This window comes from Homo sapiens, chromosome 13 (assembly GCF_000001405.40).
Source record: "Homo sapiens chromosome 13, GRCh38.p14 Primary Assembly".
NCBI lineage: Eukaryota > Metazoa > Chordata > Mammalia > Primates > Hominidae > Homo > Homo sapiens.
Window position 1 is genome coordinate 19590188 of NC_000013.11, and position 19439 is coordinate 19609626.

Here is a 19439-nt window from a genome sequence, read left to right on the forward strand (position 1 = left end):
GCATGGAGCAGGGAGTACTTAGAGTGTCACCTGGCAGAACCTGATCTTTCCTCTCATTCCCACCCCAAGAGACTTTTCCAACTCATCCAGCTGGAAGCAGAGAGGCTAGGATTTTCCCCTCAGGTGTCTGACCCAGAGCCTGCATGCTAAGTCCTAAGGTGATGGCGTCTCAACTGCGCTGGGCCTTTATTTGTGAGCTTTCAATGGTTGTATCTGCCTGTGTTTGACCAGAATAATTAATTTAATAAAAGCACTTTAAAAATGTTTGTAAACGGCTAAGTATCTAGTGTTGGGTACCATATAAGTATTTAGATACAAAAGGTCTAAATTCAGGTTATTTTTACTGGGGGAACCATTATTAATATGATTATAAAATAGTACACTGCGGATCTGTACACACGAGAGAGAGAAGTTGTGTACACGTGCTACTTCACAACAATGATGCAATTCAACAGATTTATGACAACGATTCCTTTAGACAGATACTGACTAAAACTTACCAGGGGCAGGGCCCTGGGCCAGGCAAGGAGTAAGTCACAGCTCCTGGGCCTCAGCAGGGAACACTAAGATACAAGTACTTGCCCTTGCTGGGTGGAGTAGCTCACACCTGTAATCCTAGCAGTTTGGGAGGCCAAGGCAGGAGGATCACTTGAGACCAGGAGTTCAAGACCAGCCTGGGCAACATGGCAAAATGCCATCTCTACAGAAAAATACAAAAATTATCTGAAGGTGGTGGCGCACACCTTTGGTACTCAGGAGACTGAGATGGGAGGATCGCCTGAGCCCAGGAGTTTGAGGCTTCAGTGAGCTGTGATCATGCCACTGCACTGCAGCCTGGGTGACAGAGCAAGACCCTGTTCCCCTCAAGCCGCACCACCAAAAAAAAAAATATATATATACTTGCCCTTGTGGTTGGAGCCACAGGGGCCATGAGTTCAGCAGGGACTCCCGCCGGCTGCTCCAAGCCACTCTCCCAGCACTCCCTGCTCTATTCTCCTGCAGAACCAAACTGCTTACCGTTCCCCAAATGTGCTCTGCCGGTTCACACCTCTGTGCCTTTGCATGTTTCCTCAGACTGGAATGCTCAGTCAGTGCAGAGTGGACATGTGTCATGTGTTCTGGCTGCTTAGCAGGGTTTGAAAACCCTGCCTATGTTCTGGGAATTTCCTAACACAAGAATGAGTCCTGCCTCTCCAAGGCAGATGCCAGAGCAAGCAGGGTACAGGCACATGACCCAGCCTCCCTCCATCAGCTGTGTCTACACGAGATACTAACTTAGACATGAGCAATCCAAGGCAGTAGACACAGTGTGGAAGTGATGTATCAGGCAATGCTGGTACAGAGGCGCCAGGCTTTGGAGGAGCAATAGTTACCAGGCTGTGGCCCTGGCACAAGAAGAGGCAGCGTCACAAACCGTCATATCCAGAGCTCTAGAGGGGCAGCGGCGTGGTTTCCATTACAGGCCAGGTCTGCGGTGGGCGTAGGGCCTTGTTTCAGGAAACTCTTCATGGCACTTTACCTCCCCATCCAGAAGAGTCACTCTATATCCTTTTAATCATTTTAATCAATCTCTTTTATGCTTTTGTTGATTACAACTAAGAGTCTGGCTTAGTTGCAACTCTTCCAACCCCTGTGGTAGGTGATACACCAACCTACATTAATCCTGTTAACAAAAGGCCACTTACTTTGCAAAATCCATGTTGGCATGAAGGTCTCCTGTGGGCCTCCCCTGAAATCTTCTATTCCGTCCTTGATCCATGCCCTCCTGGGGTGCCCTCACTACCCACACGCCTCTCGCCTCATGCCCCCCTGGATTAGAATTGCCTGTTTCTTCTGCCTCTGCTTGGACCATGATTTATTTGAGGCTAGCCATTGGCTCTTTCACTTCTGCATTTCCAGCAGTTAGTTTGGGTTGACAGCGTCCAACACATGATAGGTACTAAAGGGAAGTTTGTTATTGAGAGGAAGGAATGCTCCAGTTTGCTTTCTGAGAACCAGGAATCAGAAACAGGTGCTATGAGGTGGCTGCGTCTAACATAGATCTCGGTGAATGGCAGGGATTTTAACAGGCGGAATTGGTGGGGATCATCCTGCCCATAAGACAAATTATTATATCCCTCAGCATTTTCCCATATCCTTAATATACTGTATGTGACATTCTCAGTTGCACAACAACCCTTCCCTTGCCCTTCTTTTTTTCAGGTTTGGGTGGTGATGTCTCCGGGAAGGTGGACCCTCCCACAGCCCCAAGGGGATGAGTTTTCATTGCTCTAAACCAGGGGTTGACCAACTACAGCCTGCTAGCCAAACCTGGCCTGCCACCTGTTTTTTTATGTCCTCACACCATACAAAATGCTTTTTACAGTTTTAAACAGTTGGGGGAAAAAAAAGAAAAAATTCTTTGTGAGAGGTAAAAAATATATAAAATTCAAGTTTCAATGTCCACAGACACACTGGAACACAGGCATAGGTATTTGTTTCTGGTGTGTCTAGCTGCTTTGGCTCTACAATGGCAGAGCTAAATATATGTGACAGGGACCGCACACCCTGCAAAGCCTGACATATTTACTGGCTGATTCTCTTCAGAAGAAGTTTGCTGACCCTGTTCTCAAGCAATCATGCTAATGCCAATCTCCTTCCAGTATTGATTTTTGGGAGGAGCATAAGACCCATTTCTGGGCCAATGAAACACAAAAGGAAGCCTGACAGAGGGCTGCTGGGAAAGATTGTTTTCTCTGATGAGAGGGAGATATGTGAGCATGCTTCCTTCTTGCCTTTGGATGTTGCATGTGAGGATGTGATAGGCAGAGCTGTGGCAGCCATCTAGTCATGAGGGAAAAGCTAAGAGAACCACAGAGAAGCTGCCCCCAGATACTGTTGAGCTGTTAAATAAACCAGCTCTGGAACTTCCTACTTCTAGAATTTTTTAACACTCAAAATAAATATACTAGGCTGGGCACAGTGGCTCATCCTGTAATCCCAGCACTTTAGGAAGCTGAGGTGGGAGGATCACTTGAGCCCAGCAGTTTGAGACCAGTCTGAGAAATATAGTGAGACCCTTGTCTCTACAAAAAAAAAAAAACAAAAAAAAAAAAACTAGCTGGGTATACTGGCACACAACTATAGTCCTAGTTACTGGGGAGGCTGAGGTGGAAGGATGGCTTGAACCCAGGAGTTCAAGGCTTTGGTGAGCTATGATCATGCCACTGTACTCCGCCTGGGCAACAGAGCAAGACCCTGTCTCTAAACAAACAAATAAACTGATAGTTGGACATCCTGTTAACTGTGGCCAGATTTGTCCTAAAGCATATGATGTGAGAAGAGTATTTCCTCTTACTGATGAACCATAAAATTTTAACCATTTATGAGCATTTTCCTTTAATTATTTACTATTGTAAGTTTTATCTTTTAAAAATATTTATCTTACAAATTCAAATTTAAGGCTCATTAACCATCAGAGGGAACATGGAGAAATAAAATAAAATAAAAACAAATTTAAGCCTCATAAAATATGTGCCTCAGCTAGTGCCTTCTCCCTCCCCCTCTTCTGCTTCCTTCTCCTCCCCCTTCCTCTCCCCATTTCTTTCCCTGTACCATTAAGATGTTGCCAAGGAAAAGACAAAAAAAATTGCCCACTCCCAAAACACTGCTCTAACAAGTCTTTTGCTGGATGCAGATCACCCTCTTATTCTAAGAAGACCGACAGAAATCCAAATCCATGTTTATTTGTTTAAAATACAAATTCCATTATGGTTATTAGAGGCTGGGAAGGGCAGAGGGAGGAAAAGATAGGGAGAGGTTGGTCAACAGAGATGAAATTTAAGCAAGATAAGAGGAACAAATTCTAGTGCTCTATAGCACTCTAGGGTGAATATAGTTAACAATAATGTATTGTGGTCAAAGAGCTGGAAGGGAGGATTTTCAATGTTCCCAACACAAAGAATGAGAAATATTTGAGGTGATGCCTATGCTAATTGCCCTGATTTGATCATTACACATTGTATACATGTATTAATATATCAATCTGTACGCCACAAATATGTACAATTATTATATGTCAACTTGAAATAAAAGGAACAAATAAAATAACATATAAATTCTACCTGACTCCAAAAAAAACTTGTGGGAGTTTTCAATAAAAGTTATATCAGCAGCCAAGAATATTTAATGGGTACTAAAATTGTATAGTCAAAAGCAAGCTTTCTTTTCTTTCTTTTTATTTTATTTTATTTTTTTATTATACTTTAAGTTTTAGGGTACATGTGCACATTGTGCAGGTTAGTTACATATGTATACATGTGCCATGCTGGTGCGCTGCACCCACTAACTCGTCATCTAGCATTAGGTATACCTCCCGATGCTATCCCTCCCCCCTCCCCCCACCCTACAACAGTCCCCAGAGTGTGATGTTCCCCTTCCTGTGTCCATGTGATCTCATTGTTCAATTCCCACCTATGAGTGAGAATATGCAGTGTTTGGTTTTTTGTTCTTGTGCTAGTTTACTGAGAATGATGATTTCCAATTTCATCCATGTCCCTACAAAGGACATGAACTCATCATTTTTTATGGCTGCATAGTATTCCATGGTGTATATGTGCCACATTTTCTTAATCCAGTCTATCATTATTGGACATTTGGGTTGGTTCCAAGTCTTTGCTATTGTGAATAATGCCGCAATAAACATACGTGTGCATGTGTCTTTATAGCAGCATGATTTATAGTCCTTTGGGTATATACCCAGTAATGGGATGGCTGGGTCAAATGGTATTTCCAGTTCTAGATCCCTGAGGAATCACCACACTGACTTCCACAATGGTTGAACTAGTTTACAGTCCCACCAACAGTGTAAAAGTGTTCCTATTTCTCCACATCCTTTTTTTTTTTTTTTTTTTTTTTTTGCAACAGTCTTACTCTGTCACCCAGGCTGGAGCGTAGTGGCATGATCTCAGCTAACTGCACTGCAACCTCTGCCTCCCGGGTTCAAGCAATTTGCCTGCTTAAGCCTCCTGAGTAGCTGGGATTACAGGCACCCGCTACCACAGCCAGCTAATTTTTGTATTTTTAGTAGAGACAGGGTTTCTCCACGTTGGCCAAGCTGGTCTCAAACTCCTGACCTCAGGTGATATGCCTACCTTGGCCTCCCATCTTCTTTCTTATTAACTATAAATATATTTGAGTCAGAGATGTTTTATGCTGTTGATCTGTTTGCAACTCCAATTAACTCACTTTGTTAAAATATGCCCCATGTGGTATCAACCACGGATACATTTTGTGAAATTATTTCTCCTTTTAGTGTCATTAACCAGTGCTTTGTGAAATTCTGTTGAAATAGCAAATGCTTGCTCGTCTATGCAGACATTCCATGTCTGTCCTCTCACCTCTGACCTGCGTCACACCTGCCACCCATCACAAAACTAGCTGCATTGAAATCTCTGAATCGGGCAATCCCAAGCGCAGCAAACAGTCACCTGGAGCAGAGAGGTCAGTGTGTTTACGTGTTTCCTGTTTGGAACCTAGGTCTGAAATACTATTGAGTTGAGCTACCTCTATAGAGAGCAGTGACCCATGTCTCTAAAATATTGTTCTCAAGAGGCCACAGGATTCCTAGGAATTTTTTTTTTTTTTTTGAGACAGAGTCTTAGTCTGTCACCAAGGCTGAAGTGCAGTGGCACAATCTTGGCTCACTGCAACCTCCGCCTCCCTAGTTCATGCGACTCTCCTGCCTCAGCCTCCCGAGTAGCTGATATTACAGGCGTATGCCACCAGGCCCAGCCAGGATTCCTAAGAAATTACACTGAGAACAAAGCTTGCATGGACACTTTCTTGATTTAGTGCCAACCAGATGATTTTACAGTCACTTCTCTGAGTATCTGAGAGATAGGAAGCATTTTAACATCTATATATTTATTTCTCTATTCCTAAAATAAAGATAGCAGAAAGAGCCACTGTTGTGGGGGATTTTAAGCTGCTAAAGTGACTTTTATAAAATATTATAGAGGGAGATGTATTTCAGAAGAAAGAACTTCCAGTTCCTGCAGCCCACTTGCTTTTAATAAGAAGCCTCTGGGAGGGAGCACCGCACAGTGTAGCAGCTGAGCGCCTGACCTTCGGAGTTGGACAGAACTTTGCTGAGTCCCTGCTCTTCTCTTAGCACCTGTGTAACTTGGCCTCTCTAACCCTTGGTTTCTTCCCCAACCTCATTCTTACAGGCCACTGGGCTAGGCAAGGGGACACAGCAAGTAAGTTGGACAGAAGACAAATGAATGAGTTTGTGCAAAAAAAAAAAAAAAAAATGTCTGGGTGTTGGGGCTCACACCTGCAATCCCAGCACTTTGGGAGGCCAAGGCAGGCAGATCACGAGGTCAGGGGTTCGAGACCACCCTGGCCAACACGGTGAAACCCTGTCTCTACTAAAAATACAAAAATTAGCCAGGCGTGGTGGGGGGCGCCTGTAATCCCAGCTACTTGGGAGGCTGAGGCAGGAGAATCACTTGAACCTGGGAGGCAGAGGTTGCAGTGAGCCGAGATGGCACCACTGCACTCTAGCCTGGGCAACAGAGTGAGACTCCATCTCAAAAAAAAAAAATGGTAACTTTGTAGATTAGGTATTAAAAATCTGAGCAAAATTCTGATTGTTTCTTATATTACAAATTGAAGCTGATGCTTGCACAGGGGAAGCATGGAGTGGAGAAATATGGAAGGCTTGGGAGTGATGAGAGTTTGGAACAGCCCTTGTGAGGATAGGAGAGGAAGGGGCTCAAGGAAGACAAGACAAAGCACTAGGCTTGGGGCCAAAGGCTCAAGGAGAGTACCAGGCACCCTGCATGGTGGATTGTTCCAGCAGGTTGATGGAGCATAGGGGCTTCAAAGGAACCGGTGATGCAGTCATGCTGTGGCTGGAGTTTACGAAAGGCTGACTCACCAAAGGTCAACAGAGACATTTACACAAACATCCTGACCCCAAGTCCAGTGCTCTTTCTAATCTATAACAGGGTTCTTCCTTTTTTTCTTTTTCTTTCACTTTTTTTTTTTTTTTTTGAGACAGGGTCTTGCTCAGTCGCCCAGGCTGGACTGCAGTGGCATGAACACGGCTCACTTCAGTTTCAACCTCCCGAGCTCAAGCGATCCTCCTGCCACAGCCTCCCCAGTAGATGGGACTACAGGCATATGCCACCACACCAGGTTTAAAAACAATTTTTTTTTTTTAAATTTTTTGTAGAGACAGGGGCTCACTGAAACTGCCTTTGCAAAAATTATAACCGAGAAAACTATGATGATGAAAGAGAGCTGACCTAACGGACTCCATCTTGCTTCTAACCTCCAAACTGTCCTTGTTCTGGGTGTAGGTTGAATTAACTTTGGGAGAAGCTTAGTTTATAGTTTAGTTTTGAAACAAAGACGATAACAGCCCTTTCCCAAAAGAAACCCCCTTCCTGCCTGAGGACTAGACTGCCTTGGTAGGACTAATAAATTAGCCACAAGATTACAAATCATGGTTTAGGAGTCATGCAGCTGGAGGCTGCAAGATTCTAAACCTCCCCAGATTGCTCATCGGATGACATCACTGTTGTAAAACCTAAGATCAGTGCTTGAGATATTCTGCAGACCCTGTACTTGATGGCTTCATCAGCTGGCACTACCCAGATTGATAAATTGGCTCATCTGGTTTTGTGGCCCCTGCCGAGGAACCGACTCAGCGCAAGAGGACAGTTTAGACTCCCTGTGATTTAATCTCCAACCTGACCAATCAGCACTCTTACTCACTGGCCCCCTACCCACCAAATTATCCCTAAAAACTCCAATCCCCGAATTCTTGGGGAGATTCATTAGAGTAATAATAAAACCCTGGTCTCCTGTATAGCTGGCTCTGTGTGAATTAAACTTTATTGCAATTCCCCCATCTTGATAAACTGGCTCAGTCAAGGCAGCAGGCAAGAAGAACCCACTGGGCAGTTACATCACTATGTTGCCCAGGTTGGACTCGAACTCCTGGGCTCAAGCAATCCTCCTGCCTCAGTCTCCCAACATGTTGGGATTACAGGCGTGAGCCACTGCACCCAGCCAAGTCTGTCCTTAATCAGGGTTCTTTTGGATCTCATTTTCTTAAGGTGCAAAAGCCACTGGACCAAGTGATACTGCTAGCCCCTCTAGGTTGCTGTAACTAGTTACGGCTCCTGGATCTGCTTCCAATTAGTTAATTTCCCATCACTTTGGACAAGTCATCCCAACTCCCTGGCTTGTTTCTGTAACTCAATTACGGTCCAGAAGCCCTAGTTCTAAAGTGCTGATTCTGATGAGTGCCCATTTACCAGGCACTCTGATCCCGTCATAACATCTACTATAGCCTGGGAGGTCTATTCAGGTGTGCATTCATGTTAAGCACTAACACCAATCAAATCACTTAAATAACATAGGTAATAATCCAACAGCACGCTGGGTGCAGTGGCTCACGCCTATAATCCCAGCACTTTGGGAGGCCGAGGCAGATGGATCATCTGAGGTCAGAAGTTCGAGACCAGCCTGGCCAACATGGTGAAACCTTGTCTCCACTAAAAAACACAAAATTAGCCGGGCTTGGTGGCGCATGCCTGTAATCCCAGCTACTCGGGAGGCTGAGGCAGGAGAATCGCTTGAACCCAGGAGGCGGAGGTTGCAGTGAGCTGAGGCCGTGCCATTTCATTCCAGCCCAGGTGAGAAGAGTGAAACTCTGTCTCAAAAAAAGAAACAAGCAAAAAAAAAAAACAAAACAGAAAAAACAAAAAACAAAATACCAACAGCACATCCAAACAAGACTGAAAGTTGTAAAAGAAAATTACACTGTGTGGACAGTTGGGGTGTGTGTATGTGTGTGTGTCTGTGTGTCGGTGTGTCTGTGTGTGTGTTTTAGAGATGAGGTCTCTCTGTCACCCAGGCTGGAGTGCAACAGTGCCATCATAGCTCACTGTGGCCTCCAATTCCTGGCCTCAAGCGATCCTCCTGCCTTGGCTTCCCAAGTAGCTGAGACTAGAGGCATGTGTCATCACACCCTGTTTTTTTTTCGTTTTTGTTCTTTTTCAGATGGAGTCTCTCTCTGTCATCCAGGCTGGAGTGCAGTGGTGCAATCTCAGCTCATTGCAACCTCCACCTCCCGGGTTCAAGTGATTCTCCTGCCTCAGCCTCTCGAGTAGCTGGGGTTACAGGCACACGCCACCACGCTGGGCTAATTTTTGTAATTTTAGTAGAGACAGGGTTTCACCATGTTGGCTAGGCTGGTCTCGAACTCCAGACCTCAGGTGATCTGCCCACCTCGGCCTCCCACAGTGCTGGGATTACAGGCGTGAGCCACGGCGCCTGGCCCACACCCTGTTTAAGGAAGAAAATAGTGTTGAAAATGAAAATCAATACACAAAGGCTGAACCAAAGCAATGGGAAGGCAGTGGCTGTGTGTTATGTTGAGTGGCTGTCTCAAATAGACCAAGACCTTTCTGACCCTTTGTCTTAGGGCATTAAAGAAAATTACTCTGGGCAAACAACAGCTTCCTTGAATGCTTTCACTTGTTTAACAAAATGCCAGAGAACCACAGATATAACCTATAGTTCCTTAGGGACTACAAGATCAGAGCTGACAGTGTTACAGTTTTCATCAGTGCACTTGCAGAAATGGCATCAGATGGATTTCCTTGGGAGAGGGGGATTGGGAAATGGCTTTTTTTTTTTTTTTGAGATGGAGTCTCACTTTTTTGCCCAGGCTGGAGTGCAATGGCGCGATCTTGGGTCACTGCAACCTCCACCTCCGGGGTTCAAGTGATTCTCCTGCCTCAGCCTCCCAAATGGCAGAGATTACAGACGCCCACGACTATGCCCGGCTAATTTTTGCATTTTTAGTAGAGAAGGGGTTTCACCATGTGTTGGTCAGGCTGGTCTCCAACCCCTGACCTCAGGTGATCCGCCCACATCTGCCTCCCAAAGTGCTGGGATCACAGGCGTGAGCCAGCGTGCCCGGCCTGGCTTTAAAAAAAAAAAGAAAGAAAAGAAAAAAAACAAAACTGGTTGTGGGGAAAAGCAAGAGAGATCAGATTGTTACTGTGTCTGTGTAGAAAGAAGTAGACATAGGAGACTCCATTTTGTTCTGTACTAAGAAAAATTCTTCTGCCTTGAGATTCTGTTAATCTATGACCTTACCCCCAACCCCGTGCTCTCTGAAACATGTGCTGTGTCAACTCAGAGTTAAATGGATTAAGGGCGGTGCAAGATGTGCTTTGTTAAACAGATGCTTGAAGGCAGCATGCTCCTTGAGAGTCATCACCACTCCCTAATCTCAAGTACCCAGGGACACAAAAACTGCGGAAGGCCGCAGGGACCTCTGCCTAGGAAAGCCAGGTATTGTCCAAGGTTTCTCCCCATGTGATAGTCTGAAATATGGCCTCGTGGGAAGGGAAAGACCTGACCATCTCCCAGCCCGACACCCGTAAAGGGTCTGTGCTGAGGAGGATTAGTCAAAGAGGAAGGAATGCCTCTTGCAGTTGAGACAAGAGGAAGGCATCTGTCTCCTGCCTGTCCCTGGGCAATGGAGTGTCTCGGTATAAAACCCGATTGTATGTTCCATCTACTGAGATAGGGAAAAACCGCCTTAGGGCTGGAGGTGGGACCTGCGGGCAGCAATACTGCTTTGTAAAGCATTGAGATGTTTATGTGTATGCATATCTAAAAGCACAGCACTTAATCCTTTACATTGTCTATGATGCAAAGACCTTTGTTCACATGTTTGTCTGCTGACCCTCTCTCCACAATTGTCTTGTGACCCTGACACATCCCCCTCTCGGAGAAACACCCACGAATGATCAATAAATACTAAGGAAACTCAGAGGCTGGCGGGATCCTCCATATGCTGAACGCTGGTTCCCCAGGTCCCCTTATTTCTTTCTCTATACTTTGTCTCTGTGTCTTTTTCTTTTCCAAGTCTCTCGTTCCACCTTACGAGAAACACCCACAGGTGTGGAGGGGCAACCCACCCCTACAACTGGTAATAAGGGAATTTACTTTCCATCACTACAATTCCAGTTTTTTGTTTTGTGTGTGTGTGTGTGTGTTTTAGACGGAGTCTCGCTCTGTCGCCCAGGCTGGAGTGTAGTGGTGCAATCTCAGCTCACTGCAACCTCTGTTTCCCGGGTTCCAGCGATTCTCCTGCCTCAGCCTCCCGGGTAGCTGGGATTACAGGCACGCACCACCACGCCCGGCTAATTTTTGTATTTTTAGTAGAGACGGGGTTTCACCATGCTGGCCAGACTAGTCTTGCACTCCTAACCTCAAGTGATCCGCCCGCCTCAGCCTCCCAAAGTGCTGGGATTACAGGTGTGAGCCACCGCGCCCGGCTAATTCCTGTATTTTCATACTCAACTGTATTTTATATTAGGGCCTTGAATCCCGAGTATAATTTTGTACTCAAATATAATTTATAAATAAGGCCTTAGCCTCCCAACAAGGTCAAACTAGCTAAAAACTTAAGTCCTCCCAACCACTGACATTCCCAGCCCCCAGCCCTCATCCTCAGCCCAGCTGGCTGAGGGTCCGACCTCAGAGAGGGTCTCCGGGAGCCCAGAGGCGGGAAAGTCCCCAGAGGCGCAGGCCCTGCCCCACAGCTTTCCTAGGGCAGGCAGCAGCGACACGCCAGCTCGCGGGCTAGGCTGGGCGCGGGAACTGGCCGGGCTGGGCGCGCCGCGGTCCCGCGCCCACTTCCGCTTCCCGTGCGGGGGATGGCGGCAGAGCCGGTGGGCTGCGGCGGCTCCAGGTACCTGCCTGAGCGTGGCACTGCGCAGTCTGCCCCCGGGTCGCAGGGGCGCTCCTGAGCTTCGCGGGGCCGCCTCTAGGGCTGCCTGCGCGGAGAGCCGACCGCGGCCGACGTCGGTGTTAAGTGGCCGCCCCGGCCGGCTACCCGGAGCCAAGAGCAGGCGGCGCAGCCTGAGCGGGACGTGGCCACGCTGGCGAGGCGGTAAGCGCAGACCGACCCGGCGCCTCCAGCTGCGGGGAGTGTGCGGGGCGGAGGGAGCGGGGCACGGGGAGAGCCTCGGCGTCCGGGCGGCGTGACCTTCCCGGGCGGCGGGGGAAGCGGCCGGCGCCGCCGCACACGTGCCGCGGGAACCCTCACCGCCCCGGGGTGGCCCGCCGGGGTCGCCGGAGAATCTCGGGGTCGTCGGCCTCCTTCCCGCAGTGCCCACCTCGTGGGAACTTTTGTCCTCCTTTGCCCTCAAGTCCTATCATTTGGCCGGGCTCCGCGCCGCCGGGGCGCCAGCGCTGGGCAGCACGGAGCCGCTTCTGCATGGAGACTTGCAGGCTGCCAGAGAGTGGGTGGCTGGGCAGGGGCGGCGAGCGTTTAGGGCCGGGCAGAGAAAGTTGGAAGTCGTCTCCCTAACCTGTTCCTTGTGAGGCCCGGGAGAAGACGCGCCTGGCCGGGTCCTTGGCGGCAAAACTGGTTTGCATCTCCACGCTTTACCTAAAGCCCGGGCTCTGGGGACTGGATGGCTAGCTAGCTGGCGGCTCCTACTGCCCCAGCTTTAGCCAGAAGCTGGGATCTTCCCGCAGCAGTTTGTGTTCCCTGATGGAAAATGAAGCCTCATCTACTGACTCTCCCATCCAAAAAAAAGTTAATTTCCCGAAGGATCGAGAAGGATGGGTGGTCTGCGCTGTTGTTCCTCAGTCGCACCCTGATGTAATTTGAGAGAGGGGTCAAAAGCGCTGAAAAGATTATTTTTTTCTATTCCAAGTGCTACAGCAAGCTCATAAATCAATTTTAATTCATGCTGAACAGTTTTGCTTCCTCCAAGCCCTGTGTCTCCTCCGAGCCAGAGCTACACGTATGTGAATTAGTTTTAGCCCAGCCCTTCTGAGTGAATGTTAGTACCCATCATGGTTTTCTATCTTAATAATTCTACTAGTGGCTATTTGTGGAATGAATGAATGAATGAATTTATTGAGACGGAGTTTCGCTCTTGTTGTCCAGGCTGGAGTGCAATGGCGCGATCTTGGCTCACGGCAACCTCTGCTTCCTGGGTTCAAGCGATTCTCCTGCCTCAGCCTCCCGAGAAGCTGGGATTACAGGCATGTGCCACCACGCCTGGCTAATTTTGTATTTTTAGTAGAAATGGGGTTTCTCCATGTTGGTCAGGCTGGTCTCGAACTCCCGACCTCAGGTGATCCACCCGCCTCGGCCTCTCAAAGTGCTGGGATTACAGGTGTTAGCCACTGTGCCCGGCCTATTTGTAGAATTTAATGCGTTTAAGTTTGGTTAACCCAGCGGGGTTGAATTCACATGGACAGAGTGCAATGTGATGTGACTTTCCTTCAAAGTTCAGAAGGAAGTGTCTGTGCCAAAAGAAGTAAGTGCATTGAGGTTTATCTGGGAGGCCACATTGGACTTGCCCCTGTCTGTCTTCTCAGTTGCCTCCGTTATTTTCTTCCCCTAAAATGCATGGTTGGGTGTTTTGTGTTGCTTTTGGCCAGGTTGAAATAGTCAGATTAAGTGTTGATTTGTAGGCACAGACCTGAAAGGACAGGACTTTGAAATGAATCCTCTGTCACTGACTAGTTGTGTGGCCTTGGAGAAGACCTTGTCTTGTTCCAGGCCTCAGTTTGCCTTCTGGAAAAGGATTAGGACCTTGATATACTTTTTTAGGAAGATACCAGATGACCACCACCTTTTCAGCCTAGTAAATGGTCCTGCCTCTCCAGATCTATCAACAGCATATAAATCAGCGTCTTGCACTTCTAACTTAGTTGCTTTATTAAGTACTGTGCCTTTGTTGCCACTGGTTTTAAAATTTTTGTAAATGAAGATGATTGAAATCTGGTCATTGGCAAAATGCTTCAAGAGGTTTAAAAAACTTCTCCACAGCCAGTGTTTTCTGTTGACGTTCAGGATGACATTGGTGTTAGGAAGGCACTTGGTGTTTGTCTCTGATCCAGCAGGTAGGGTCGCACAGCTCCTCAGTGTGATGAGGAATAAATTGTTCCTTATTCACAAATAAGTTACTGTAGGGGATCGGTCAGGGTGGTGGGAGAAATTATAAAAATAAACTTATAGGAAATAGACACAAACCTTCTTGGAAGGCCGGGAGGTTTGCATGGCTTCAGTAAAAGATTTGGCTGAAGGCAACTGAATTCTCTTAAAAGCTTAGGGCGTAGATACATAGGAATGTAGAGGAGTTCATCTAAATGGCTTGTTTGCTCATGTGGTCCTAAGACCGACCTTTGGTCCTCTGTGGGTGCAGTACTGCTCTCTACTCGGGAGGTCAGCAATGTTAATTACCCTCTAGTGGTGTTTACTCGAGACCTTTGTCATTAAATCTGTACTGAATAAATGCACAGGGCGCCAGCTTGTCAGGGCTGGTGGCTGCTACAGCTCTTTCTGTGAAGCTGCCTGGACCTCTAGCCTGCTCTTTCAGGGGATAGATACCTGTGTCTGAGTGCATTTCTTCATCTGTCATGCGGCCAGGGTCTGCAGGTCAGACCCAGCAGTCTTTGGCTGATGTCAGCATTCCTAGCATATGTCTGTTTCCAGGGTCTGGCTACCCAGACTGTGGCCCTCAGTGTGCAAAATGTGCATGTGCAGATCTCTTGATCCATTTCTTCTTACTTAGGGAAACTAGGTGTCTCAAGAAATTATTTCATGAATCTTGCTTTTGGTGTTGCATATAAAAGCTCATTGGCAAATCCAAGTTCATCTAGATTTTCTGCTGTTATCTTCTAGAAGTTTTCTAGTTTGGCACTTTTCTTTTCTTTTTTTTTTTCCCCAGAGACAGATCCTCCCTCTGTTGCCTAGGCTGGAGTGCAGTGGTACAGTCATGGCTCACCACAGTCTCAAATTCCTGGGCTCAAGCGATCCTCCTGCCTCAGCCTCCCGAGTAGAAGGACGAGAGGTGCATGCCACCACACCTAGATAGTTTTGCACTTTTTACATTTCAGTCTGTGATCGTTTTGATTTGTAAAAGGTAAGGTCATAGAACATTTGTGTTTTGTAAAAGGTGTAAGGTCACTTTCCGCCTTTCTCCACACAACCACTTGCAAGCCATTCCCCCTCTACCTTGTGTAAAATCTGGTTTCTTTGACATTCCCTACATGTTCTCATCGCCCCCATCCACCAGCCACCCAAGACCTCCCTCATTCCTGTGGTTCTTGCCTTCATCTTCAGTGACTTCCAGCATCCTGAGCTATGGCCTGGCCTAATGCCCTGGCTGGTCACTACTAACATTTTTAGAAGTTCTGTTTGTAATGATCTACATATGAGCACTGAAATTAAAAGAAAAAGTGAAGAATTTTTGCCTATATTTGGAAACTTTCCTTTCAATAGGTAATAAGCAGAAAGACAAAGCAAGAGAACTCTGCCTGGGTATTATGAAAAATAAATGCACTGAAGGAGAAGATCTTCCTATTTTAGATTAGTCATAAGGAAGAAATCCAGGAAAACCTCTTCTGCCGTGCTAGCTAGGGAGGAGTGGGGTGACAGTTAAGATGTCTCACGACACTTGCATCCAGACATGGCCAGGTAGACAGAGGGTGGCCCAATCAAAAGGGGCGCCAGCGGCCAGGTGCAGTGACTCATGCCTGTAATCCCAGCACTTTGGGAGGCAGAGGCAGGTGGATCACCTGAGCTTAGGAGTTCGAGACAAGCCTGGGCAGCACAGCAGAAACCCCATCTCTACAAAAAAATATACAGAAATTAGCCAGGTGTGGTGGTGTGTACCTGTAATGCTGGCTACTTGGGAGTCTGAGGCATGACAATCACTTGAACCCAGGAGGTGGATGTTGCAGTGAGCCCAGACTGCACCATGGCACTCCAGCCTGGATGACAGAACAAGACTCTGTCTCAGAAGAAAGGGACACCAGCTCTAAGCAGCTGATTTGCTTATACCAGGTATCCAGCAAATATCTGCCCTACAGACCAGAACAGTATGAGAGGTCTCAATTCTGGAAAGATATTGCTGGAGTTGGCATTGGAAGCAGAGAAGGCTAATTGTCTTCCTGTGTCAATTCCCAGGATTTGATTCTGGCCAGCCATCCAGCTGGAGTGCACACCCTTGCATCTGGGAGTGGCCATGACACTCATTTCTAGCCAATGGAATGTAAGTAGATTTGATGATTGCAACTTCCAGGTCAGGTCCTCAAAAAGGGAAACAACTTACTTACTGCATCCTACCATTTTCCTTACTCATGGGCTTTGAGTCACCTCCACCCTGTAGCAGATGGCACACCCTGGTGCAGCTGCAGGCCCCAAGACAAAAGGGTGTCCCTGGATGAAATGGAACAAAAACACCTACTCACCCAGAACCACCTGCCCACTTTCAGGCTGCTAAGTGAGAAAGAAATATGCTTTATCTTGTTTGAGCTACTGCATATTTGGAGTATTTTTGTGACAGCAACTTAGCCAGTATTGTAAAGAAACAGCATTGTATCTGTCTTAAGAGAACGACACCCTAGTGGCACCAACGCTACTCCTCCATTCCTCCCCAGGACTACAAGGAGATAAAGCCCACACTGCAAACCCCATCAGGCCTGAGAATTATACTCAGACCTGAGGCTGGGCAAGGGGAATAGGCAACTGAGCAATTGGTATCATTTCCCATTTTAAACAAATTAAAGAAAAAAACGCATCTCTCAACCTCACTTTGTCACCTGCCCTTCAGCCGTCACTGGGTTCATTCCTAACCTTTACAGATTTGTCCAGGGTGGCTTATCTTCCTATCTCACTCTGCAGTCTACTCTCTCACTAGTATTATCTCATGCTTCCTTCTGTCTAGCACTATTCCAAAATTCTCATCCAAAGACCACTTTTTTGGGGTTTTTGTTTGTTTGTTTTTAGAGAGAGACAGGGTCTTGCTTTGTTGCCCAGGCTGGTCTTGAACCCCTGGCTTCAAGTGATCCTCCTGCCTCAGCCTCTGAAAGTGTTGGGATTACAGGTGTGAGCCACCACACCTGCTCCAAAAACCATTTTTTAGTCCTTATCTTTCTATACCTCTCAAAAGCTTTTTTTTTTTTAATTTTTTTTTATTTTTAGAAACAGGTCTTGCCCTGTCACCCAGGCTAGAGTGCAGTGGCACGATCGTAGCTCACTGTATAGTCTTGAACTCCTGAACTCAAGTGATCCTCCCACCTGAGCCTCTCAAAGCACTGTGATTACAGGTGTACCACCATACCTGGCTAATTTTTTTTTTTAAAAAAAGAGGGGGTCTTGCTATGTTGTCCAGTCTGGTCTTGTACTCCTGGCCTCAAATGATCCTCCCACCTTGGCCTCCCAAAGTGCTGGGATTACAAGTGTGGGCCACCACACTTGGACTCAATAGCTTTCTATATTCTTAATCATGTAAGTATATAGATTGGTGATTTTTCACAAATTGAACACAAGAAACTGACGTCCAAGTCAAGAAATAAAACCCCACACCCCAGAAGCCTCCTTCCCACTTCCTTCCAACCATGCCTGTTTGTGTACTTGGTATTAGTGGAATCACACAGTATGTGGTTGCTTGTGTCCAGCATATTTTGCTTAACATTGTGTTTCTGCCATTCAGCCACGTCAGGAAACCACCCCGATACCTACCACAGAATGAGTAATTACATTGATATCCATGTGTACCAAGTGTCAGTTTAGGGCTGTCCTGAATGGCGTGCTCTAAGCAATATTCTAGCGCAATGCCCGTGACTTTACTGCGCACGCCCACCGCTCCTTCCTCCTCCATTCTGCCTTTGTTTTTGCCTCCAATTTGGCCAGTCATTCCCAGGCTCATTTGCAGGCCCTTCCTCTGCCATTTCCTAAGTGATGGCAGGGCTCAGGATCGCAAGCCATTTTCTAACTCTACATTCTTTTCTGGTGTCCTCATCCCCTCATGGATTAATTGTCATCAACAGGTTGGTTGTTTTCTAATCTTATCTCAAGTCCAGATCTCTCTCTTGAGCTCCTCTTGGCCCAAATATCCGTTTGGGCATTCTGTTATTTCCTTTTTTCTTTTTTCAATTATGGTAAATAAAAAAAAAGACATAAAATTTAGCATTTTAACCACTGCGCCCGGCCTAGCTTTACCATTTTTAAGTATACAGTTCAGCAGTGCTAAGTATATGCACATTGTTGTATAATAGATCCCTAGAACTTTTCATCTTGAAAAAAGAAACTTTATTCCTATTAAATATCAACTGCCAACCGATGCCGTGGCTCATGACTGTAATCGCAGCACTTTGGGAGGTCGAGGCAGGCGGATCACTTGAGGCCAGGAGTTCAAGACCAGCCTGGCTAACGTGGTGAAACCCTGTCTCTACCAAAAATATAAAAATTAGCTGGGCATGGTGGCACGTCCTGTAATCCCAGCTACTCGGAGGCTGAGGCAAGAGAATCGCTTGAACCCCGGAGGCAGAGGTCTCAGTGAGCCAAGATCGCACCACTGCACTCCAGCCTGGGCGACAGAGCAAGACTGTCTCAAAAAAAAAAAAAAAAAAAAAAAATCTACTGCCCATCTCTTCCTTTCTCTCAGCCCTGGAAACCACCATTCTACTTTCCATTTCAATGGGTTTGACTGCGTTAGATACTTCATATGAGTGGGGTCATGCAGTATTTGTATTTTGTGGCTGCATTATTTCACTCAGTGTAGTGTCCTAGATGTCCATCCATGTGTACCAAATGTCAGAATTTCCTATCTTTTCAAGGCTGTATTATATAACATTGTATGTCTGTTTCACATTCTGTTTATTTGTTCATTTGTGGACAGACATTTCATTTGCTTCTACCTCTTGGCTATTGTGAATAATGCTACTATCAACGTGGGTGTGTAAATATCTCTTTGAGATCCTGCTTTGAATTCTTTTGGGTGTTTTGTTTTTGGTTTGTTGTTGTTGTTGTTGTTTTGAGACGGAGTTGTCACCCAGGCTGGAGTGCAGAGGCGTGATCTCGGCTTACTGCAACCTCCGCCTCCCGGGTTCTAGTGATTCTCCTGCCTCAGCCTCCCAAGTAGCTGGGATTAAAGGCACGCACCACCACACCTGGCTAATTTTTGTATTTTTAGTAGAGATGGGGTTTCGCAATGTTGGCTAGGCTGGTCTCGAACTCCTGGTCTCAGGTGATCTGCCTGCCTTGGCCTCCCAAACTGCTGGGGTTACAGGTGTGAGTGACCATGCCTGGCCTGTTTGTTTGATTTTTGCTCTCTTAACCTTATCATCCAGCAGAGGATGAATTCTTTTGTTTAAGGATTGTTGGATATGATAATGTTTCTAATTTTTTGAGGAATCTCCACACTGATTTCTATAGTAGTTGCACCATTTTATATTCCTACCAGCAGTGCACAAGGATTCCAGTTTCTCCACATATTTGCCACTTGTTATTTTCTGGCTTTTAATTTTTTATAGTGGCCCATCCTAATGAGTGTAAGGTATTTCATTGTGATTTTGATTTACATTTCTCTAGTGATTACTGATGTTAAAACATC

The 19439-nt window shown here is 46.5% G+C and overlaps 2 annotated features.

Moving 5' to 3' along the window:
- Positions 9602–10591: an enhancer, noted in NCBI's record as "NANOG-H3K27ac hESC enhancer chr13:20173929-20174918 (GRCh37/hg19 assembly coordinates)". NCBI's record gives its function as "activates a minimal SCP1, AML or CMV promoter by ChIP-STARR-seq in primed H9 embryonic stem cells {active_cell/tissue: H9 hESC(primed)}" and the evidence as "EXISTENCE:reporter gene assay evidence [ECO:0000049][PMID:30033119]".
- Positions 11564–12163: a silencer, noted in NCBI's record as "silent region_5138". NCBI's record gives its function as "represses an Ori minimal core promoter by ATAC-STARR-seq in GM12878 lymphoblastoid cells {active_cell/tissue: GM12878}" and the evidence as "EXISTENCE:reporter gene assay evidence [ECO:0000049][PMID:35858748]".